The 23991-nt window shown below is 46.8% G+C and overlaps 1 protein-coding gene across 6 annotated transcripts in view, besides 4 other annotated features; it reads right to left on the bottom strand.

Annotated features, from left to right (window-relative positions):
- The window catches only part of UNC93A (unc-93 homolog A), a 46983-nt gene extending 29919 nt beyond the window's left edge, over window positions 1-17064 (bottom strand). For 2 of the 6 annotated variants that reach the window (XM_017010958.1, XM_011535908.3), the window contains exon 1: window positions 16970-17064. The gene's annotated coding sequence lies outside the window, so the exon portion shown is untranslated. Of the gene's footprint in view, window positions 1-689; window positions 797-4934; window positions 5084-14637; window positions 14921-16969 lie in introns of those variants that run through there. The other 4 variants (XM_011535905.3, XM_047418901.1, XM_011535906.3 and 1 more) reach the window with 3 other exon arrangements.
- Window positions 3838-4337: an enhancer, noted in NCBI's record as "H3K4me1 hESC enhancer chr6:167695247-167695746 (GRCh37/hg19 assembly coordinates)". NCBI's record gives its function as "activates a minimal SCP1, AML or CMV promoter by ChIP-STARR-seq in primed H9 embryonic stem cells {active_cell/tissue: H9 hESC(primed)}" and the evidence as "EXISTENCE:reporter gene assay evidence [ECO:0000049][PMID:30033119]".
- Window positions 4338-4839: an enhancer, noted in NCBI's record as "H3K4me1 hESC enhancer chr6:167694745-167695246 (GRCh37/hg19 assembly coordinates)". NCBI's record gives its function as "activates a minimal SCP1, AML or CMV promoter by ChIP-STARR-seq in primed H9 embryonic stem cells {active_cell/tissue: H9 hESC(primed)}" and the evidence as "EXISTENCE:reporter gene assay evidence [ECO:0000049][PMID:30033119]".
- Window positions 5666-6179: an enhancer, noted in NCBI's record as "OCT4-NANOG-H3K27ac hESC enhancer chr6:167693405-167693918 (GRCh37/hg19 assembly coordinates)". NCBI's record gives its function as "activates a minimal SCP1, AML or CMV promoter by ChIP-STARR-seq in naive H9 embryonic stem cells {active_cell/tissue: H9 hESC(naive)}" and the evidence as "EXISTENCE:reporter gene assay evidence [ECO:0000049][PMID:30033119]".
- Window positions 17247-18446: an enhancer, noted in NCBI's record as "BRD4-independent group 4 enhancer chr6:167681138-167682337 (GRCh37/hg19 assembly coordinates)". NCBI's record gives its function as "activates an origin of replication core promoter dependent on BRD2, P300/CBP, MED14 and CDK7 cofactors, and independent of BRD4, by STARR-seq in HCT116 cells {active_cell/tissue: HCT116}" and the evidence as "EXISTENCE:reporter gene assay evidence [ECO:0000049][PMID:35650434]".

Genomic DNA, 23991 nt, shown 5'->3' with positions numbered 1-23991 from the left:
GAATATAAGATATGTATATATATTCATATAGCCATATGTGAATATAAATAGAGACATGTATATATAGACATGCATATATACAAAATGTATTATAGGCTCATTGTGTGTGTGTGTGTATATATATATATATATATAGAGAGAGAGAGAGAGAGAGAGAAAGAAAACTAACTCTTCACTGGACATAGAATTGGTGGGAGGAAAGGGGTATGTTTACTCTTTTTATTTCATGCACCTATATACTACTTCTATACTTTAAAGAAGAATATCTAATTTAAGAAGAATACAATTTTTAAAGAAAACTACACTTTTATAAAGGAATTGTTGTAGAAAGAACTCTGTAAGGTAAGCTAAGCCCCCCACCTACCCTCCAGGCTGCCCATTCTCCTGGTTGAGCTGCTGCCCAGGGCCGCCCTCCAGAACCCCCACCCCAGTGGGTTATAAAGAAACTGAATGCCAGCTCAGGTACCAGATGCCGTCACCTGAGACAGCAGCAGCTGCAGGGAAGCCGCTTCCACGACTCCAGCCCTGTGCTTGCGACAGAGGCCAACTCTCATCCCCGCCAGCCCCACGGGCGAGTCAGGCCACCATCGAGGCACATGTGGGCACTGCAGTGTGAGTCCCGGCTCATCACCAATCATTTAGGCCCCAGCTCACTTCCCCTCCTGGCTGGCAACTCCTTTTGTCCTGACCTGTTTATGATGAGCTGTAAAGAAGCACACAGTGGGATTGGGCCCTGGGATGAACCCTGGCAGACAGCTGGCTACATGGCAATCCTGCCCTCAGAAGTATTTCCCGAATTCTGCACTTTAGACACGGGAAGACGTGTGACAAATGCCAGCCAGGGCCCCTCCCCTTGGCCTAAATGCCATGGCTCAGGGCCAGCCTGTGTGGCAGGGAGTGTGACTGGGCATGGTGTCCCAGATGGTCAGCCACCCTCTCTCGGGCAGGTAACCACACACCTATGTGTCCCACTCAGTCCTGCCCCTCTGCAGTGGTGCCACCTGGCAGGGCCCGAAGGCCCAGACGGTGTGGGAAGGAACAGGTTGGCTTATGCTGGCACAGCCGAGGAGAAAATCAAGCTGATGATGTGTTTTGAGAACTGGAGAGGATTATGGAGAGGACTACAAGGCGAGTAGGAGTTCTGTGCTTACAGCGTGATACCACCAGGGGTCTGGGGTTGGTGGGCTGTGTGCGCTGTGTCCGGCGTTCCCAAGGTAAGGACCCACGGACCTCTGTAGCAAGATCTCCCAATGTTCTCAAGCAGCCACGATTTGGCAACGCACCCACCTGTGGCGACCGCCCTCAGAGTCCCAGACTGTGGGTCTGCACCCCGGACACGGGACCAGGGCCCTTCTCAGGAAAATGGGCTGTGTGTGGGCACTACAGGCAAGACTCTGTTTTTCCAAGGAATCCCCAATATCCTGTGTTTTTCTTACCCAGTGTGTTCAGTTAATGAATGATATTGAGCTGTGTATTTCCAGTGGCCCGAAAGCCATGATCAGTATCTACTCAAGTGGGCAACGTGAGCTCTGTGTGGATAAACCTAATGAACAGGGCTTAGCGGAGAGGATGGGCATGCCTGGCCTTCGCTTTCTAGTCCTCCTCTCCTCTGTCCCCCATCCCTCCCCAGCCCGGATGTTCGGAAGTTGTTTTTAAACCCCTTTACCCCACTGCCTTCACACTGTGTCTCTTATTTTGTAGGAACTGAGTGTCTTGATTTATCTGCTCATCAGCTATTAGTTAACACCAACTGCATGTCATGCACTGGGCCAGTCTCTAGAAGCTCACGCAACTGTTATCATTGTGGTCTATGAAGAAAAATGTCACATAAAGTTTAAAAAACAAGAAGAAAGATTCCATGCTGCAGTAGAGGGTCTGTAAGTGCTCCCGTACCCATGGGGTTCTGGTAAAATCTGCCCCATCCCTAGTGTTTTGAAGATGGAACAAGGCTTGTTCTGTGGGGCTGCCCCAGGCCCAGAAGTGAGCAGAAGCCAGAGAGCATTTTGCCCTGGGTTTCGCACTTGTTTGCATTCAGCAAGTATTTGTTGGATTTTAGTAGAGTTTTAGTAGAACGTACAGGCTCTGCCAAAATGAGGGAAAGCCTGACCCTGAGTGTGAACCTTCCCAGATGGGATTTAATGTGCTGTGAGATCCTGATGCTATGAAAGCGTTTGCTGAAATGCCCTCATACCACGAAGACTCAATTTATCTTTGAAATATCTACAAATTACTGTCTTTTTAACATCGTAAGTTGTTATTGATGCTGGTTTTTGGATGTTCTTTCTTGTGACTATACTCTTTTAACCATTGAGTAGTTATAATTTCTCTCTGAACATGATGAAGGGTCTCTGTTACCTCTTATTCATCAGACCAACTGTGAAAGAATGAAAATTAAGGTGTGTGTGTGTATCTCAAACTTGGCATGTTCCGCAACTCATTCTAGCTGGCAGGCAACGCGGGGGAGTGAGGGAGTGAGCATGTTTTAGAGGTAGGACAAGCGCAGAAATCAGTTTTGCAGATGTACCTGCACCCACCTCTTTCCCTGCCACCTTACCCTTCCCACTTTCAGATAACTGTAGACCAAAATGAAATTGTAAGACCCGCAACGGACTGAATGGACCCCTCTTTTCAGCCAAGGGGATTCCATAGAATCCTAACAATCTAGTTCAGGCCACGATGGGAAGGCAAGGTCCGATGTGCCTCATTATACCCTCCTTGCTTTGGAATTCAGGAACAACTGGCCAGACTTCACATGAAAACAGAGATCTTAAGCATGACAAAACAGACTCTTTGTAGAAATAAGACACCACATTCCAACCTAACTCTATTATAGCATCACATGACAGATAGCAGGCTTTGAAAGAAATCGAAATATTTTACCCAAAAATAACTTTGTTTGACACATTTTGAAATGGCCCTGCAAAGCTGTGTCTTGCAGGGAAAATTTACATTTTCTAAAGAATCCTCTTCTTTTTCCAGGTCTTTTGTGGACCCCAAAGTGATTAGCTCAGAGTCTAGCATTTTTTAAATGTCTGAATGGGAAACATTTGCCATCTGTTGTCTCTAAGGGTACCACCTATGAGACTTCATCAACATAATAAAACCTTGGTCTTCACAACCCCTTACCTGAACCTAGACACTCCTTTCTATGGATTCCAGATCTTTAGATAATAACTTTTTCAACCGATTACCAATCAGAAAATCTTTGAATTCACCTCTGACCCGGAAGCCCCTGCTTCAAGTCGTCTCGCCTTTCAGGACTGAACCAATGCACACATTACATGCATTGACTGATGTCTTCTGTCTCCCTAGAACATATGAAACCAAGCAGTAGCCCAACCACCTTGGGCACATGTTCTCAGGATCTGTGTCCTGGATCATGGTCTTCACATTTGGCTCAAAATAAATCTTTTCTAATACTTTACAAAGTTTAGGTTTTTTCATCAACATATAGAATCCACATTTCACCTGATATTTGGGACACAAGAAAGTCTATAATCAACCCACCATTTCTTGAACATTTGCTACAAAATCTGTTGTTTTTTACTGACAATGAACTTGTCAACATTTTCAAGTGAACCTGAACCCATGCTCCAAGAAAACAATAATAGTCATAAAATCCCTCCAATTTCTTATTTTCCCAAATCTCCCCCCACCTTTTTCTGTTCCAGGAAAGAATCAGCACAAAAAATCCCCCTCCCCCACAGACCTTGGTGGGGCCCCCTATGCACACTTTCTCTTGACCCCATCAGGTGTGTGATGACCTCTTGTTTACCTGTGACAAGGCCAGACCCACACCCTGCAGGCCTCCACTCTCTCTCATGGTTGACTAGCTGAGAGTAGAACCTCTAGACCCCCTGGAATGATACAGACACATTGAAAATGTTTCCTGGTCAGCTGATGGACTGAGGCATCCCCCAGCTCTACATCACCCTGTCTGAAACTTGTCTACCGTCCCAGGAAAGTCTACGATAAGCCACCCTGCAAAGACTGATTCTAGCATAGCGGCTCTCCCTGGTACAATAAAAATTAGTCTGCTGGTCTGTTTGTTTTTTATCTCTCACAACACACATGTATTTCCATATGAATCTTAAGGAAAGACCATAAAGTCTCAGTCTACTTTCCCAGGAAATAAGTAGAGGTCGTCATCTACATGTCACCATGACTTGGAGTTGTTTATTCCCTTTCTTTAATTGAGAAACCAGAATCCTTATCTCCTCTGAAAGGAAAGTCAAGGGGTGAGCCTGAGAGTCAGCTACACAGGCCAAGCTCCACCTGCAGATGTGGGCACTGCTGCTGGCTGGCCGGGCTGGGCCAGCTTCTGAACAGCCCACTGCTTGGCTTGACTTGTGGACATCAGCACCTAGCAAATGAAGAGTCCCAACTCCATGAGGCCAAAAGCCCCTCTCACCTTTTTGACAGCCCCTAATCCACCCAGAGCTTAGTCATGGAGCCTGAATCTCCCCTCACCACACACAGGCTACGTTGTAAAAAGATACACAATTTATGGGCGTTTTGTGGAGTTGCTGGCTCCTGCACATACTCTCTCCTCCCCACGTGCATCTAAAACTCACTTTCCCAAGGGGCCCTGCAGGCCAGGGAGTGAGTGTTAGAATCCTGCTCTGTTGCTAGGCCTCCTGGCTGCCTTTTAGCTACAAGAAGTATTCAGCTCAACTCATCTCATCCTCAACTCCAATCCATTCTCACTCCTGGCCAGGGAGGGCATGTATGACCCTCTGGTCTCAGAATAAACAGGCAGCTTGGGAGTAAGAGGAATGGCTAATGATTGGCCTGAGTCTCCCCTTGGTGGGCATCCTCCTCCTGGGGCTCCTCTCCGTGGGATGACCTCCTTAGGCTTCTCTTGGTGGGCTGTCCCCCTGGGGCTCCTTTCAGTGGGATGATCTTCTAGGGCTCCTCTCAGTGGGATGACCTACCGAGGCTCCTCTCAGTGGGATGGCCTCCTGGGACTCCTGTCAGTGGGATGACCTCCTGGGGCTCCTTTTGGTGGGATTACCGCCTGAGGCTCCTCTTGGTGGGACATCCTTCTGGGCAATCATGATAATTTCAACTTCAGAAGGAACCTCTGAAAAATAGGTTGATTTGCTTGTTTGTTTTGCTAAGGGAAAGAAGTATGGCTTGGGTTTCCTGTTGAAGATGATTCTAAATGCTGTGATAGAGATAAATTTGTACTCCTTTTTCTTACTGACACAGTAAGTTCAAGTTAAGGGCCTGCCTGCTGATGGGCGTTTTCAGTATCAACCTTGATCCAACCGGTTACCTAACTCAATACTGCTGTATTTCCTTAACAGTGAAGCATACAATTTTTTCCCTAGTTTCATTCCAGTGTCAGCAGGTTATGCATTGGTCTATACAACAATCATTTGAGGAACTTATGATAAGACAGAGTGCTGTCCCCTGCGAGCTCTGGCCAGGTTCCAGCCAGCAAAGGGACCCACAAAGGGAGCCACTCCAGCTGACCTAGACTGAGCGGCCTCGGGGCTCTCTGTCTGACTCTCTAAGGACTGAGATATTCATAATTCTTTTTAAATTATCCATGGAAACAGCAGGACAAAAAATGCACAGGGCCTCCTAGTGCCTGGGTGAATGTGCTCAGCCCTCTTTGAAGAGAAACCTCAAGGATACGGAAGTGAAGGCTTTGAAAGACAGGGTTCTATTGAGATGAAGGGTGCCTATTCCTTAACAGCAAGTAATTCATATGTTATTGAAATGAATTTAGCATTTTCCCTTGAAAGCACACAGCATTTTCCCCCTCATTAACAAATGTGCTCCTCCTTCCCCTCCCCCAGCCTCTACAAAGGATTTGAAGGCACCATCTGAGCTCACGGGGAGCCTGCAGGGGGTAGGAGCCACTCTCAAGGCAGGTGGCCAGTTTTGCTGATCCTGAGACCTCATCCTCGGCTTTTGAGTATCAAATGTACAGTTACATCTGTACCTTGAAACATGAGATTGGGTTTTGAAATCTCAAACTAATACTTATCAATAAAAGGCCAGTGATAGGAACTAAAGAGGAAGTAAAGGCACTGGAATTCTCCCAAAGCAAGCATCTTCTTGTGCTCATGGACTTCCTTAAGAACATCGCTTATTACACAATCTCACAGTGAATGGTGGATTGCCTGGTAATGTTTTCTAGGTAATTCATGTAGTCTTATTTTCTCAGCAGGACTCCACTGAAATTCAAACTAAATTCAACTGAGTGTCATATGTCAGGCAGTCCTACTCTCTTTTATGCATGCCAACTTCTTTTATTCTCCAAGGATAAGGGTCTGGCATCTTTTTCATTCTCTACTATGTGCAAACTAAAAGCTTTGTCCTTTGATTTTTCTGTTGCTGTGCTCTGTTTGATGCAAAATATACGCACATTTTTCTGTGGAAAATTCCATGAGTATTACACACTTCATCTATGGTTATACTCGACTGAAACAAGGAAAGAATATGTTTTCTGATTCCCGGAAGCCCATTCTCACTCACATGGAATAAAATATAAGCAATGGGTTAAAAATCTAAACAGTACAGCATGTTCTTTACTTTATATCTATATACTATCTGAAAGATAATTTTCAGAAAAAGGTAAAATCATGACTTGCACCAAGATATTAAAATGCAGAAGTGTTAAAGATTTTATTTTACACATACGATAGGAGGGAACTAGGCAGATGTTAGAACCTGTTCAAAGGAAAAGTGAAAACATTTATATGGTGTAAAGGAATTTTGAAATGAATTGCAAATGGAGAGAAAGCTGTTTTTTTACAGGGTGAAGAAGCCAGTAAAAATCACTACTAGACAGGACAGAATGTCCCTCTCTCTTTCTCTCTATCTATCTCTCTCTATATATATCTCCGTCAGTTACCTGCAATTCTCAAAGAGTTGTAAAATAGTTCAAAGACAACGAACAGCCTAAAAGTATGTGCCATAGATTTCCACTGAAACACATTCTTTTTAACACATCTAATAAGTATGTCTTAACTAGTGAATTTGTACCACTCTGCAGGAAAAGGACTATTTTTAACTTCTTTTAATTGATCATCTGCCTGTGTGTTGCAGGTTGCTGTGTACCTTTTCAAAATTCGAAGCAAAGATTTTTATTAAAAGATTTTCGTCAAAGTTAATTAAAAATCAAAACCCAAATCAAAACAGAACACACGGCAAGCTGTGCTAATCACATGGATGACAACTTTTCCTGGACATTACAACTGTCAGGGTGACATCCGTGTAGATGATTCTGTAACTGTTAAAATGAAAAACTCCCACCCTGTGGGAACAGAGCCGGGTGAGCCCTGGCTTCCACACAGTGCCACCCTGAGAAGGCGAGGTCTCCCCAGCGTCTGTCTGCAGTGCAGCCAGGGCGGAGGAATGAAGTGTCACAGCAGGAAGCAGATGGCTGCATTTGCAGATAATCAATCTAGAGACTTGCAGCCCTGAGTTTCAGGGGAACTTGTCTAAGTAGCATCCTGTCGCTGGAAGGCATCTAATGAACTAAGTTACTGGTGTTCTTGCTTGTCAGATAACCCTGGAACACTGTATGGATTTTATAATCATTTTCTTCTTTGAGACTGACAAAGTCTAAATTCTTCCTGATTGTCAGGTGAGGGCAGGCCGTGGGTCCTCATGATCCCAGCAGCGCCATTTTGGCCATGGAGTTGTGGTGCTGCAGCCTCATGCACCCACCGTGCAGCTTTGATGGTAACTGATGAACCAGTCTCACGTGCGCTGGCCTCACGGGCCCTGGGGACACCCGAGTTGGCCTTTGGCTGCTTCTCTGTGGCACTGTCCTCTTCGGCTACTGACTGCAATTGGCATAAATTCTAGACACCATGTTGTCAAACCTTCCCCAACCCTGGGCTTGCTTCCCGCCCTCACTCAGGTATATGTCAGTGAAAACAAGTGACTGAGGTTCATGTAATGTAATGTAATGTGTCCCTTTTTCCTTTGTGGTAGCCCTGTCTGTGCCTGACAGGACCCCTCGGGAAGTCTGGGCTCTGAGGAAGACATTCTGTAGCTCTAATTTTAAACCTATTTGGCATTTCAAATCCGGTTTTCAAGTCCCTGGGGTGGGTAGAGGATGCTTCAAGAAGAAAGCGCTCTGACCCAGAGCAGCAACAAGGGTGAGGGGTCCAGGACAGCACAGGACAGGAGCCCGCCTGGTGGCTCTGCCAGGGCCTGGGAGGACAGGAAAGTCAGCTGCCAGCTGGGACCAAGAGACAGACAGAAGGAGACAGAGAGGGACAGAGACAGAGGGAGAAGAACAGAGACATAGAGATAGGGAGACAGAGACACAGAGACAGAGAGAGACAGAAAGATACAAAGAGGCAGAGAGACAGAGATAGCCAGAGAGACAGAAAGAGTTATAGAGACAGAGACAGATAGCCAGAGACACAGAGACAGAGAGAGACAGAAAGAGAAAGAGACAGAGAGATAGAGAGACAGAGGGAGACAGAGAGAGAGAAAGTCAGAGAGAGAGAGACAGAGATAGCCAGAGAACGGTGGAGACAGTGGCCCAGCAGCTGCCCGTCCACTCTCTGCCTGACCTGCAATCTGCCTCTTCTGCCCTTGGATTTGCCCTGACCAGAGCTTTTGCAGGAGGGGCCGTTCTTTTGTGGAGGGGGAGCCCAGAACTGGACAATCAGGAGACCCAGGACAGAAGCCCTGCAGCAAAAGCCAGGACACCTGAATTGGTCAGGCCAGCAGTGACTCAGGGCCTGGAGAGCCCCATGGTCAGAGGCCAGCTGGAAGGCTCCACCGGCTAAGGGTAGGTCGCCAAGGCAGGTCACAGGCCAGAAGGCAGAGGGGCCAGCACAAAGCCCAGCTTTGTAGGCACACAGCAGAAGCCAGGCAGGAGCACTGGGGGCACAGGCGCAGTTCTCAGGGTGAAGATGGCTCCTTGGCCAGACTCCATGTCACTGGTGACCAGTCAACAAGGTGCAAGCTGCTACCTTCACAGAGGGTGATCCTACTGGAGACAAATGCACCTGACTGGCCGTAACGTGCCCCCGGCCCACTGGCTCCCCTGATGAGCCCACATCAGGGGAGTCTGTGGTGGCCTGTGCATGGCCTTGGGCTTGCCAAGTCCCAGGAGGGTGGGCGTTGTCTGTGTGGCTCCCTGCTGCCTGCAGCGCATCTCACCTGGGCACAGAACAGCAAAGACAGCCAGCGTGGGCTGCAGGTACACCCCGGGGACTGGGCACAGGATGGCAGCTGCTCATGTTTATTGGTACCAAAGGTCAAAGCAGAAACCAGGTGTGATGACAGGGATGGCCACGACTCCCGGGGTTTCCTAAATTCTAAAGAATGCTACCCATAAATACATTTTTTTTGCTTAGACTTGAGAAAGGGAGGACAAACAACAGCAGTAGTGTCCTGTGAAAATTTCCCAAACATGGAAGAGTCCTGGAATAAACCATGCCTTGGATCCCACAGCTGAAGGAGGAGCACAGCACAGCTGGGATCCCGGGACTCTGAAGTCTCCTGGATGTGGCAGGAGTAGGCTCAGCCACTGTGCACAGTGTGTGTCCTCGAGCAGGTCACCTAAACTGCCGGGGTCTCACATCTCTTGCCCCTAAAGTGGGAAGAATAATACTATTGTACAAGGTTTAGAAATTCATAAAACTATTGGTAGGAATGTAAACTGCTACAGCTACTATAAAAAATAGTATGGAGATTCCTCAAAAAAACCACAAATAGAATCACGATATGAGCCAGCTAACCCACTCCTGGGTGTTCATCCAGAGGGAAGGAAGTCAGTATATCAAAGAGACATCTGCCCCACATTCATCCCAATACTGTCACAATAGCCAAGATATGGAACCAACAGAGGTGTCCACCACCAGATGAATGGATGAAGAATGCAGTATATATACACAACGGAATACTATTCAGCCATAAAAAGGAATAAAACCCTGTCATTGTGGCCACATGAATGGAACTGGGGACAAGATATTAAGTGATGTAAGTCAGGAACAGAAAGTTCAACACCACACGTTCTCACTCATATGTGTGAGCTAAAAAAAAAAAAAGAAAAGAAAAGAAAAAAATGATCTCATAGAGTTAAAAAGTAGAATGGAGGATACTAGAGGCTGGAAATGGTAGGGAGAGGGGAGGGGTAGGGAGAGATGTGTGATGGACACAAAATCACAGCTAGGCGGGAGGAAGGAGCCCAGTGTTCTGTGCCACTGCAGGATAACCAGAGTTAACAGCAATACACAGCATCCATTCTCATTGCACTTTCACCAATCTGAGAGAGATTAGCTCAGGTCCAATCAAAAGACTCACTTCTTGGATACTCGAGCATACAACCCGTGAGGAGCACAAGGTTGCATCTGAGCTGGACACAGATGAAAGCAGGGTGTGGACCCAGCATCCTGTCTGTGCTTGGTGTGGTGGGGAAGTCTGACTGGGCAGAACCTGCTGGTCCAGCCAGCCTGCTGGGACATGTGCCTCATGCAGAGCCAGGCCTGCCTGATGCTGCACAGGTGTGAGGATGCTGCCAATGAACACACGCACTGTGTCTGTGCAGGCACATCAGGAAGTTACCACTCTCATGACCAAGAGTTCCTGGAAGATCCCCCCGCTGACTGCCCTTGGGGGTGGGTGAGCTGACCACCAGGTATCATGAAAGCCCAAATGTGGAGAGTGCCAGCTCCTGGAAACTGATTTGCATTCTCAGGACAACCTGGGGAATCATTAGGGAAACGGAAGGGTGTGAAGAGGACTGACCTGTATTCCAACAGATAGAAAGCCACGTTGCCAAACGCCACTGAGGAAGCCACCTGCCTCACTGTTGGGACTGGTGCTGTGTGGGCCAGCGGCCATCCTGCCAGAGGAGGACGTGGCAGAATGACAGGCTGAACTGGTCCAACAGGAACCCAAAGACCCTGCAGAGTTTCGCAGGCAACCAGGCAGCTCAGTGTGAAGTGAGAAGAGTGACACACCAGCCCAAGTCTCCTGCATGCAACTGCCCAGACACCTGAAAACACAGATGCCACGGTCAGCTCCTATGGAAGGAGGCCCCCTCAACACTTCCACGTGGTGTTGCTGCCATTGGAAAAGCAGAACTCAGTCCATCTTAGAACCACACTCTGGGACTCAGTGCCACGTCTGGTAACACCAGTTGATGTATGAAGGACTTATTTTTTCTCCCTGTCTGAGACGTATTTGTCTGGAAGAAGGTCAAGGAATGAGCCTAATCAAAGTAGCTTTGCAGGAGCAATTTGCACTGTGAGCTTGGACCTTGCAGAAGTCGACTGCATAGGGAATGGGGGCTGACTCTGTATTATTACTTCATTACTCGCTAGTCTCTGTGCAGGGCATGGAAGCTCTGCATGGTAGTTTTGTTGTTGTCATTGGTATTGTTTTTAAGGATGAGGAAACAAAGCTCAACAAGACTAAAGAAGGTGCCCATGTCACGTAGCAGGTGAGTGATGGAGTCTGGATTTGAACCCTCATCTAGACAGCCGCCAGTCAGCTAAGAGTGTCATAGAGAAAACATCAACTGCAGGCACTAACAGGAATCAGCCTTCTGGATCCAGGCCTTGAGTTAATGTATGAATGAAACACAAAAGGACTCCAGTGTGAGAAGCAGAAATTTGGGCAGGAAGAGGAGGATAAACAGGAAGAAGAAGAACAGGATGACGCTTCCTGAAGAAATAACCATCCCAGCTGTATCACTACACACATCTAGAACCCTTTAGGCAGGAGGAGGGAGGACGGACCGAACGTGGAATACGTAGGATTTTTCCATTAGCCTGAATGTACCACCAGATGGAAGGAGGGTCAAGAACATAAGTCTGTGCCTTGAGGACTAAACTCTGACCTTTTTCTTCTCCTGCCCAAATTCCTACCTAAGGGGCCTGGGGAGGTCACCCTACAAACCACAAAGCCTCATTGGAGGGGTCTTACTAACCCTGTGTAACTCGGCTCTTTCCAACCTTACTCTGGCGTAACTTCACATGACAGATAAGGAAGAAAATCCAAATATTTTAACCCTAAATATGTTTCTTGGCCATATCTTGAAATGTCCCTGCAAAGCTGTCTCTTGTGGGGAAAGTCTATATTCTGTAGAAAATCCTGTTCCCTTTCCAGGCCTTTTTCCTCATCCAGGAAATACTCCACTAAGTTTCTGGCACATTTTAAGTCTGATAAACATTTACCATCGATTCTCTCTAAGCCTGCTACCTGGAGGCTGCATCAGCATAGTAAGGACCTTGGTCTCCACAACCCCTTATCCTAACCCAGATATTTCCTTTCTATTGGTTCCAGGTCTTTAGATGAACTCTTTCAACCAACTGCCAATCAGAAAATCTGTGAATCTGCCTGTGATCTGGAAGCCCCTGCTTCCTGGTGTGCCACCTTTCCCGTCTGAACTGATGTACAGCTTAAATGTATTGATTGATGCCTTATGCCCTATAGCATGTATAAAACCTAGCTGTGCCCTGATCACCTGGGCCACACGTTCTCCGGGTCTCCTGAGGACTGTGTCACGGGCCATGGTCACTCACGTTTGGCTCAGAATAAATCTCTCCAATATTTTACAGAGTTTGGCTCTTTTTATAGACAACTTTTTAAAATGTCAAGTCAGGATAGGATCTCACCACATATGGCACCCAAAGGTGTGCTGGCTGCCCACTGACTATTCCAGTTGACAGAGCCAGGTACAGGGTCAGAGTCACAGCAGCTCCCATGGGCCAATGAGGAGGCATGGCTGGGGAGGAGGCTCTGTCTCTCCACACCCGATGGAGGCAGCTCTGTTCCTGAGCTCAGGGTGGGCTTCACCTGGAGTTAGGAGTTGGGGGCCTGAGTCCTGCTTCCTTATTGCTCTGGTGCCCAAAAAGATGAGCAGTCATGGTGAGATGGGGCCTGACCCAGCGTGCACAAGCCCGGGAAGGAAAGGAGTAAAAGGACCTGCTTCCCTGGGACCAGAGCAAAGAGCAGAAAGAGAGTAAGTGATTGATGTCACCTGGGTTAGAAGGCGGCAGTAAGAGGAGCACGTTCACGTTAGCGGCTTGCCTGGGCAGTCACAAAGGGGCCCACAGGCAGGCGAGCCTGTAAACCAAAAATACAATTCTATGGCCCCCCAACCATCTGAATGAACCTCCTCCTCTGCCAGGGCACTCTTAAATTTTAACCTGAGAGTCTGGTTCAGGCCACGACGGGAAGTGGGGGCCGGACAGACCTCATTATATCCTACAGCACTAACATCAACACAGACCTTACCTCTGATAAGAAACATCTGTGATCTGTTCCCTCTGAAGCCTGCTACCTGAAGGCTTCCTCTGTAAATAAGAACTTTGGTCTCCACAACCTGTTATCTTAACTTATCTTAATTTCTTTCTATTTGCTCCAAGTCTTTAGATAAACTCAACTGATTGTCAACCAGAACATTTTCAAATCTACCTATAAGCTATTAATAGCAATAGGTCCCCCAAACCTCCCACCAGCACTTCAAGTTGTCCCACCTTACTGGACCAAACCAATGTACTTCTTAAATGTATTTGATTGAAGTCTCATGTCTCCCTAAGATGTATAAATCCAAGCTGCTCCCCACCACCTTGGGCACATGTTCTCAGGACCTCCTGAGGGTTGTGTCACAGGCCATGGTCACTCATACTCAGCTCAGAATAAATCTCTTCAAATATTTTACAGAGTTTGGCTCTTCGTCAACAGGCCCCTTGCTAGGCCTAATGCTCAGCTGTCACCACCTGGAAATTCTTCATCATATCTTTGGACGTGTGCTCTAAACGTCACTGGGACCGGGAGCAGGCCTGAGAGCAGAGATTTGTGCCACCTGCACGTCTGCCACTGCTCCTGGCCTCTCCATTTGCATAGAACATTCTCGATGCCCTGTGGGATTCTGAGGCAGCCATGATGGTGGGAGTTCAAGGTAAGTAAAGAGCAGCAGAGTCAGCCACCCCCAAAGACACCACTTTGGCATAAGGATCATTTTGAGCTGAAGACAATTTTTAAGATGTAGATATAAGTGAAGCTCTCTCTCCTGCCCCTCTTTGCCTAAAAGCAGGACATAATTTAGTGAAGGTGTCCCCACTCCTGTCTCTACCAGGAAGGACAGAAGCCAATCACTGGGGCAAGTCTAGGCCTTATCAGCCTGGAGACAGCACTGGAGGAATCTACTCAGCAAACTTGACTACTAGGAACTAGCCCTTATCCTCCATTCATTTCCCATGTGTTTAGCTGGCTGCAGTTTGCTGCCCTAGAAGCCCAAAGGTCTTTTCCTTTGTCTTGTCACTCCTCTAAAATTTGTCATTATTTTGTTTAGAAGCTCTATCAGCCCAAGTTCTAATAAACCCTTGGAGTGACTCATGGCTGAGTGCTCCCATGTGTGTGCATGATGAGCATGTTAATAACCTTGTTTGTTTCTATTTTGTCAACCTGTCTTTTGCCATTCTAATTTATAGGACCTCAGCCAGAGAACCTAGGATGGGTAGAAGGAAAAGGAAACTTTTCCTCCCATATGTGTGTCCCACTTATGATAGATAAGTGGGGGCTGACGAGCCTGTAAACCAAAAATACAACTGCCCTGAGAGGCCACGCCACCTCCTTGAATCAGAAGTTTACAGACAGAAGGCAGGAAACAGAGGCAGCCACGGAGCCCATCCCACATCTCACCTGTGCTGTTTCCTGAATGGCCCTTTCATTAATCCTGGAGATGATGGCACGGAAGGGCAGGCAGAGGGCTGCAGCCTGGCTCCTTTCCTTCAGTCCTCCTGATGAGGTTCTCGCTCTTTCTTAACTCTGGCCCTCAGCAGAAGCACCTGGAGACCTTGCTAAACTCTGCACAGCTGAGCCCCGCCCAGAATTGCAATTCCCTCCCTTGCTGCCTAATGACTCCCAGGTGCTTTCCTTCAGGCCTCCTGTTGAGGTTCTCTGTCTTAAGCTCTGTCTTAACTCTGGCCCTCAGCAGAAGCACCTGGAGACCTTGCTAAAATCTGCACAGCTGAGCCCCGCCCAGAATCGCAATTCCCTCCCTTGCTGCCTAATGACTCCCAGGTGCCGCGACGCTGCCAGCCAGGGGAACACACTGCGGGAACCCATGCCTGGCACAATCCTTCCCATCCAGGCCTCCGCCCACGTGGCAGCCCATCCCTGCAACACCTGTATCTTCCTGGACAACTGAATTCAAATGCCCCTTTGTGTTAGTTTCTTGAGGTCGCCACAACAGGAACTTCTTGTCCCCCAGCCTGGAGGCCGGGAGTCTGCACCCACGGTGTCAGCCGGGCCAGGCTCCCTCTGCAGACTCCACAGCGGGAGGGCGCCAATGCCTTGCTCTTAGCTCTGGTGTTCGGGGAAACCCTCGTTTGTAGACGCGTCACCCCAACCTCTGCCTTCGTCCTCAAGTGGTCACCTTCTCCCCGTGCTCCCCTCTCCTCCCATGAGGACATTGGTCACATGGAACTCGAGGCTCACCCTGCTCTAGTTGACCCCAGCTCAACTTGATCAGTTCTGCAAGTGAGGGCTCGTTCACAGGCACCAGGTTAGGGCTTCAACATACCTTTCCGGGGGATGCAACTCAACCCACAACCCTTTCTCCTCCGAAGGTCTGTCCATGTCCCCCACACCGGAAGGCTCCCCTTTCCCCTAACCCCCCATGTCCTTCGTGATGGGGCCCTGCTCCCTCATCCCACTGAAAGCTCCCTGACAACAGCACTCATCTTGTTCACCTCTGGGCACCCCACAGCCCTCCGCATTGCACCCTCTGCTCATAGTTAAGGCCAGTTTGTTAAGAGATGGCATCGGTGATTATGACGCCTGGCTGACTTGTGACAAGTTCTGTCTTAAGAACTTAACACAGAGCTTCACAACAGCCATTAACAGGTATGTGCCATCATTATCCCTGTCTTAGACATGAAAAAAGAGAGATGCAAAATGATTAGGTGACTTTGAGAGCCCATGGTCAATAGATGCCACAGCCAGACATGAACACAGATGGATGGGTCCTCCAGAGTGTGCCAGATATAAACGCGGTGGGGTGGGGACTCCGGACCATGTGAACGCCCCCCCCCCACCCCCACCCCCACCCCGTGCAGCCTCTGGGCAGTCCTTTGTTCTGACTTCTCAGCTTTCTACCAGGGCCAGCTGCAGAATTTAGGGGCCCAGGACAAAACACAAATGCAGGACCCCCTGTACAAAAAGCAGGAAAAAGTGCCATTATTGGCCGGGCCCAGTGGCTCACGCCTGTAATCCCAGCACTTTGGGAGACCGAGGCAGGTGGATCACGAGGTCAGGAGATAGAGACCATCCTGGCCAACACGGTGAAACCCTGTCTCTACTAAAAACACACACACACACAAAAAAAAGCCAGGCGTGGTGGTGGGCGCCTGTAGTCCCAGCTACTGGGAAGGCTGAGGCAGGAGAATGGTGTGAACCCAGGAGGCGGAGCTGGCAGTGAGCCGAGATTGTGCCACTGCACTCTAGCCTGGGCGACAGAGCAAGACTCTGTCTCAAAAATAAATAAATAAATAAAAATTTTTTAAAAAGTGCCATTATGGTAGTAAAATATAAAGCTTTTTCCTTCCCTCTGCAGTCTCTTTCCCTTCTTTTCATTGGGTTCCTTTATTTGCCACATTGTCATTCTAAGAAGGAAAATTAAAAATTATTAGTCAACTTATTTTGTGCAATGCCAATTTCAAATGCAAATATAGGACCATTTATCTCATTTGCAAAATCACCAAAATTTCTCAATTTGCAGTTCGTAGCTTGTACATGTTTTCTTCTTATCAGAACAGTGAGGCACTACACAAAACTCCCTCAACTGTATCCACTACAGCTCCTGATCCAAGACTGGGTCTCTGGGCGTCGCTCACCGTGGTTCCCTCAGCACAGAGCCATGATGTTCTGGCCAGCACGGGCGCCTCACTCGCCCATGCAAGCCCTGCACAGCCTGCCTGTTCCGCCGGTCTCCAGCCACGCTCATCTCGCTGGGTTTTCCCAGCCTGCTCACCTCTCAGCCTCGCTACGGCTGCCCACACATTCCTCTCTCAGTCACACATTGGGGCCCCTCCAGCTGCTTCGTCCTGGTCCCAGTGGGCCACCAGGTAAAAGTGTCACACTTGTAAATGTTCAATTGATGCAAATTCACATTTAAAGTTTGTTTACTCTGTCCCTGCACAAAAGCTTTATTTTAAAGTTACACGATTAGACAGAAGTGGACCTTTGTCCTGGCTGAGGCCCTCCCATGGGTACCCACCCCCTGAATGGCTGATGCAAGACGGCAACAGTGTTGACTGAAACCAGGCAGTTTCAGGCCACAGCCAACTGGGGACACAGCAATGAGTGATGAACGGTCGGGGTCCTCTATGCCGCGCCATGAAACCTGAACTAACCAGACAAGTTTATCCAGAGCTGGACACGACCCTTTGGGGGCCATGCAGCTTTATTATTATTATTACCATTATTATTATTATTATTACTATTTTGTAGAAATAGGTCCTCACTATGCTGCCTAGGCCAGTCTCCAACTCCTGAGCTAAAGTGAGCCTCACTCCTTGGCCTCCCAAAGTGCTGGATTGACAGGCAGGAACCACTGTGCCCAGCCCCCACACACATTTTTTAGTCATCACTGTTGGGGTTTGGTCCTGGGTGTGTTGCTGGGCCTGACGGGAAGTTCCTCAACAGGTTCCTGATGTGAAACCCCGTGTTTCTCCCCTGAAAGGGGGCATCCAGTTTCTGTGTTGCTCTAATCTCTGAGACAGACCTCTGCGTTTCTTCCCTTCTGCTATCACCTTGTTGAAGAGGGTCCTGCTCTGAGGGCTGCCAGAGGTGCCTGGGCCTGCGGAGATGCTTTTTCTTGGAAGCAAAGGCTGTGTGCAGCCATTCTGGCCACCGTCCCTGGTAGGAGTCCTCCCCATGCTTCTGGGAGCCGGGGCCACTGCTTGCCTCTGACTGAACACGCACTGGCAGAGGCCTAGAATGATGAGCTCTTACAGTGTGACTGCAGTCCGGGTCCAGCCAGGGAAAAGCTTCATCCTAATTATGACTGTGGGACTCAGGCATGTCTGTTGTTAGGTGGAGGCTTGATCGACAGGCTCAGCCGCCCTGGTGTTCTGACTCTTGTTCCACTCACTGCACAAAATGAAGCTGGCGGAATATTGCTACAAAAGAATGATCGTGGCAGGAGGCGGGGTAGAGCAATGTCAGGTCACGGTGCGTCTTGCACCGAAATATTAAGGCAGTTGTAATGATCTTTGTCTCACAGAAATGAACAGAGTGATGAAGGAGGCTCAGAGAAAGGCAGCTGAGAAGAGCAACAAGGTAGAAAGGCTGACTTAAAGTAGAGAAATAAAAATTCATCCAGCACCTCCCAAGGTCGGACATTGGTCAAGACACGCCCAAATAGTTCAGGTCATTTAACTTTGCTCAAATTCCTCAAGGCAGTTATCACGACTCCTCCTGCTTTAGAGGTGAGAATGCCAAGGCTCCTGAGGGCTGAGTAAGGAGCCCTGGTTTGTTTGAGTGCAGGTAACACAACAGGTGTTAAAGCCCAATCTTCAGGGTCTTAATCCAACAGAAGTTAACTTTCGCTTAACTTCCCATCCTGTCCGCATAAAAGGGCTTCAAGTCCTCAGAAGGTTCTGGATTCAGCCTGCATGGAACAAAGGGCCCCTCTGCTCATTTCCATTGCTGAGCCTGACAGGAGAGGCTGGGATCGGAGTTCACCTTGAACCTAGGGTGGAAGGGAAGTGCATTTTGTGAACACATAGCACCCAGGCCAGGCACCCAAAGCCACACAGCTGCAACAGCAGCCTACAGTCCGACGCGGGTCAGGCAACGGAGTCCAAGCTCACGTGTTCTCTGACTTGAGTTTTCTGAACCTCAGAGTCCTCTCCTATAGAATGGAGAAAACGTCTCCTTCACAGGATTGCTGCGAGGATGAGCAGAGAAAATGCCTGCAGAGGACATTCCTGGATGCTTAGTTATGGACAGGGCACCAGGAGAAAGGGTGATGCTGGAGTCTCTCTTTAGTTCTTAGGGATCATCAACAAAGAGGGTGTCTCCTGAATCAAAGATCACAGCAGAGTGTGTCCGAGAGGCCGCCTCTCACCTCCCTCCCTGGCCTCGCACACGCAGTCGGGACTGGACTTCTGATGGCAATTCAGTGACGCACAATCGAAAACCAGCAGCGCGGAACAGGAGATGGGAGCAAACTAAGCTACCGTTTCACTAACTTCACAGAGGAGCCTGACACAGAAAAATGTATACATTGTTTGCCTTAAAGTGAACAATAGGGAATAGCTATCGTATCTTCAAAGCAGCTTTCCAAGATCAAATCCGTCGCATCCGGAATGCGTTTCTTTGACCTTGGAACCTCCAGGAGTGGCCAGGCTCCCCCACAGATCACACGCAGCATTGCCTAGAAGCCGGTAGCTCTCCCGTAGGACGCTGGGAAGCAGCCAGCTGTTCATGTGGGAGTGTCAGCGTGCGTTCCTTTGTCAACGTCCTGCAAGAAAGAAAAGGCAAGAACGTCAGCGATGGCTCCACTGACTGATTAAGGCAAAGGAAGTCGCCACTGTGAGTGATCACCCAGGCTACGCTGGACAGAAACAGGCCATTTGCCCAAGTCCCCCAGCAGCTGTCTTTGTTCCCCACTTCGATTTGCTAATGGGCAGTGGGGCTGGAGCTCACTCTGCTCCTTCAGGGAGTGGCTTGGCGACCAGGTCAGACTTCAGTGTCTCCAGGAGCCTGTGAACCTGGTGCAAGGCTCTTCAGAGTCAGGGAGGGTGGCACACGGTCTTCAGACACGGAACTGAGGCTGTCAGTGGTGGGGAGTAAGTGAAAAATCCCACAGGCCCTGCACTGTGTCCATACGTGTTATTAATCTTAGCAATGTGGCCCAGAGAACGCAAGCTCTTCCAGCCTCTGCCCAGGGGCAGCCCAGGAAGCCGTCAGGGATGAGTGATTCCCTTCCCTTCCCAAGAACCTGAGACAGGCGCAATTACCTCCATGGCTGATAACCACTGTTCTAATCCCATGCTTGACTTAAAATCATCATATTTTAGACTTAAGAAGTCCGGACCCAGCTGATTAATCAGCCTTTCCCAGGAGCCATCTGCGGGGCAGGGTCAGAGGAACCCTGGAAATTTTCTGTTCAGCCTGAATCTCTCTGTCCTGTTTTCCGAAATTACTCCCACTAGAAATAGAAGTTTCCTGATAAAAATGCCTACCCCCTGAGAATAGTGATGCTACGAACAGTGCGTTGATAAACACAGCTTCAGCTGTCTCAGACCCAGCACCCCACTGTAACACATATTTTATAATGCTCCTTTGCTGTCTTCTAATAGGACTCACAGATAACATAACCTTTTAAAGAAAGCAATATAATGTCCCCATTTTTATGTGATGAAGAAGTAAAAAGAAAGTCACTTAATAAAATAATGGATCTTTGTACTATGTACATACTTTGCCTATGTACTATAAGTGAATTCTGATAACTAAGCTAGAGACATTGATAAGACAACAAGTAGAAAAGGGTTTATGTGATAAATATTGTCATTGTTTTCAGTTCATTTGTTTATGTTTTTAATTGCCATAGTCTCAGTATGCTCAAAATCCTTTAGCTAGCACTCTGAGTACTCAAGGAATATGTCTCTTCTGGGCCAGGGAGGGCATGTGTGTACACATAGGTGCTCTGTTGTACTGGTCTTACAGCAGGGAGGTGACCTCTCAACTGTCTGCCAGGGAACTAAAGCTCAAAAAACATTTTTAAAGGTAAAGTACCATAAAATTTACACATCCATTTGCATTTGCATTTCCATCACCAGACAACAATGAGATGATGAATTTTGTCTCATTTAGACGTCAATTTGTTTCTGGACTTTTTATAAGCAAAAATGGAAGTATTTTAAACTAAACAGTAACTTTCTTTAGACAATTAAAATAAAGTACACTATTCAAACTTAATATAAAATAATAAAAAACATAAAAGCAGATAATATTCAAATATGAATTAGCCAGGCACGGTGGCGTATGCATGTTATCCCAGCTACTTGGGAGGCTGAGGCATGAGAATCACTTGAACCTGGGAGGCGGAGGTTGCAGTGAGCCAAGATCACACCACTGCACTCCATCCTGTGTAAAAGAGCGAGACTCTGTCTCAAAAAAGAAAAAAAAATTCAAATATGATTCCTGTTGTCATAAAAGATCTTCAGTAGACAAAAAAATCACTTCGCTCAAACAGGAATAAAACACAGGACACATTTTTCACATATTTGCTTTACACTTACAATCTCATCCAACCACAAAACATCTTAAAACTTGCAGACTGAATTATATATATATATTTGTATATTTTTTTAAATTTTACTTTAAGTTCTGGGATACATGAACAGAATGTGCAGGTTTATTCCATAGGTATACATGTGCTATGGTGGTTTGCTGAACCTATCAACCCGTCATCTAGGTTTTAAGCCCCACACGCATTAGGTATTTGTCCTAATGTTCTCCCTCTCCTTGCCCTCCACCCCTCAACAGGTCCCGGTGTGTGATGTTCCCCTCCCTGTGTCCATGTGTTCCATTATTCAACTCCCACTTATCAATGAGAACATGCGGCGTTTGGTTCTCTGTTCTTGTGTTAGTTTGCTGAGAATGATGGCGTCCAGCTTCATCCATCTCCCTGCAAAGGACATGAACTCAGTCTTTTTTATGGCTGCATAGTATTTCTTGGTGTATAGGTGCCACATTTTCTTGATCCAGTCTATAATTAATGGGTATTTGGGTTGGTTCCAAGTCTTTGCTATTGTAAATAGTGTTGCAATAAACATACATGTGCATACGTCTTTACAGTAGAATGATTTATAATCCTTTGGTTATATACCCAGTAATGGGATTGCTGGGTCAAATGGTATTTCTGGTTCTAGATCCTTGAGGAATCGTTGCAATGTCTTCCACAATGGTTGAACTAATTTACACTCCCACCAACAGTGTAAAAGCATTCCTATTTCTCCACAGCCTCACCAGCATCTGTTGTTTCCTGACTTTAATAACTGCCATTCTAACTGGCGTGAGATGATATCTCATTGTGGTTTTTGATTTGTATTTCACTAATGATGAGTGATGATGAGCTTTTTTAAATATGTTTGTTGGCCGCATAACTGTCTTCTTTTGAGAAGTGTCTATTCATATCATTTGCCTACCTTTTTTGATGGGGTTGTTTGTTTTTGTCTTGTAAATTTGTTTAAGTTCCTTGTAGATTCTGGATATTTGACCTTTGTCAGATGGGTAGATTGCAAAATTTTTCTCCCATTCCTTAGGTTGCCTGTTCACTCTGATGATAGTTTCTTTTGCTGTGCAGAAGCACTTTAGTTTGATTAGATCCCATTTGTCAATTTTGGCTTTTGTTGCCATTGCTTTTGGTGTTTTCGTCATGAAGTCTTTGCCCATGCCTATGTCCTGAATGGTATTGCCTAGGTTTTCTTCTAGGGTTTTTATGGTTTTGGGTTTTACATTTAAGTCTTTAATCCACCTTGAGTTAATTTTTTTATAAGTTGTAAGGAAGGGGTCCAGTTTCTGTTTTCTGCATATGGCTAGCCAGTTTTCCCAGCACCATTTATTAAATAGGGAATCCTTTCTTCATTGCTTATTTTTGTCAGGTTTGTCAAAGATCAGATGGTTGTAGATGTGTGGCATTATTTCTGAGGCCTCTGTTCTGTTCCATTGGTCTATATATCTGTTTTGGCATCAGTACCATGCTGTTTTGGTTACTGTAGCCTTGTAGTATAGTTTGAAGTCAGGTAGCGTGATGCCTTCAGCTTTGTTCTTTTTGCTTAGAATTGTCTTGGCTATATGGGCTCTTTTTTGGTTCCATATGAAATTTCAAGTAGTTTTTTCTAATTCTGAAAAGAAAGTCACTGGTAGCTTGATGGGCATGGCATTGAATCTATAAGTTACTTTGGGCAGTATGGCCATTTTCACTATATTAATTCTTTCCATCCATGAGCATTGAATGTTTTTTCCATTTGTTTGTGTCCTCTCTTATTTCCTTGAGCAGTGGTTTGTAGTTCTCTTTGAAGAGGTCCTTTGCATCTCTTGTAAGTTGTATTCCTAGGTATTTTTTCCTCTTTGTAGCAATTGTGAATGGGAGTTCACTCATAATTTGGCTCTTTGTTTGTCTATTGTTGGTGTATAGGAATGCTTGTGATTTTTGCACACTGACTTTGTATCCTGAAGTCTTTGCTGAAGTTGCTTACCAGCTTAAGGAGTTTTTGAGCTGAGATGATGGGGTTGTCTAAATATACAATCATATCATCTGCAAACAGAGGCAATTTGACTTCCTTTCTTCCTATTTGAATACCCTTATCTCTTTCTCTTGCCTGATTGCCCTGGCCAGAATTTCCAATACTATGTTGAATAGGAAAGGTGAGAAAGATCATCCTTGTCTTGTGCCAGTTTTCAAAGGGAATGCTTCCAGCTTTGGCCCATTCACTGTGACATTGGCTATGGGTTTGGCATAAATACCTCTTATTATTTTGAGATGTGTTCCATCAATACCTAGTGAATTGGGAGTTTTTAGCATGAAGGGATGTTGAATTTTATCGAAGGCCTTTTCTGCATCTATTGAGATAATCATGTGGTTTTTGTCATTGGTTCTGTTTATGTGATGGATTACATTTATTGATTTGTATGTATTGAACCAGCTTTGCATCCCAGGGATGAAGCTGACTTGATCATGGTGGATAAACTTTTGGATGTGCTACTGGACTCAATTTGCCAGTATTTTATTGAGGATTTTTGCAATGATGGTCATCAGGGATACTGGCCTGAAATTTTCTTCTTTTGTTGTGTCTCTGCCAGATTTTGGTATCAGGATGATGCTGGTCTCATAAAATGACTTAGGGAGGAGTCCCTTTTTTGCTATTGTTTGGAATAGTTTCAGAAGGAATGGTACCAGCTCCTGTTTGTACCTCTGGTAGAATTCAGCTGTGAATCTCTGTGGTCCTGGGCTTTTTTTGGTTGGTAGACTATTAATTA

The sequence above is a fragment of the Homo sapiens genome, chromosome 6, assembly GCF_000001405.40.
Source record: "Homo sapiens chromosome 6, GRCh38.p14 Primary Assembly".
Taxonomy (NCBI): Eukaryota; Metazoa; Chordata; class Mammalia; order Primates; family Hominidae; genus Homo; species Homo sapiens.
Note: the sequence above shows the minus strand (reverse complement) of the source record. Positions and strands in the feature narration are given on the sequence as shown.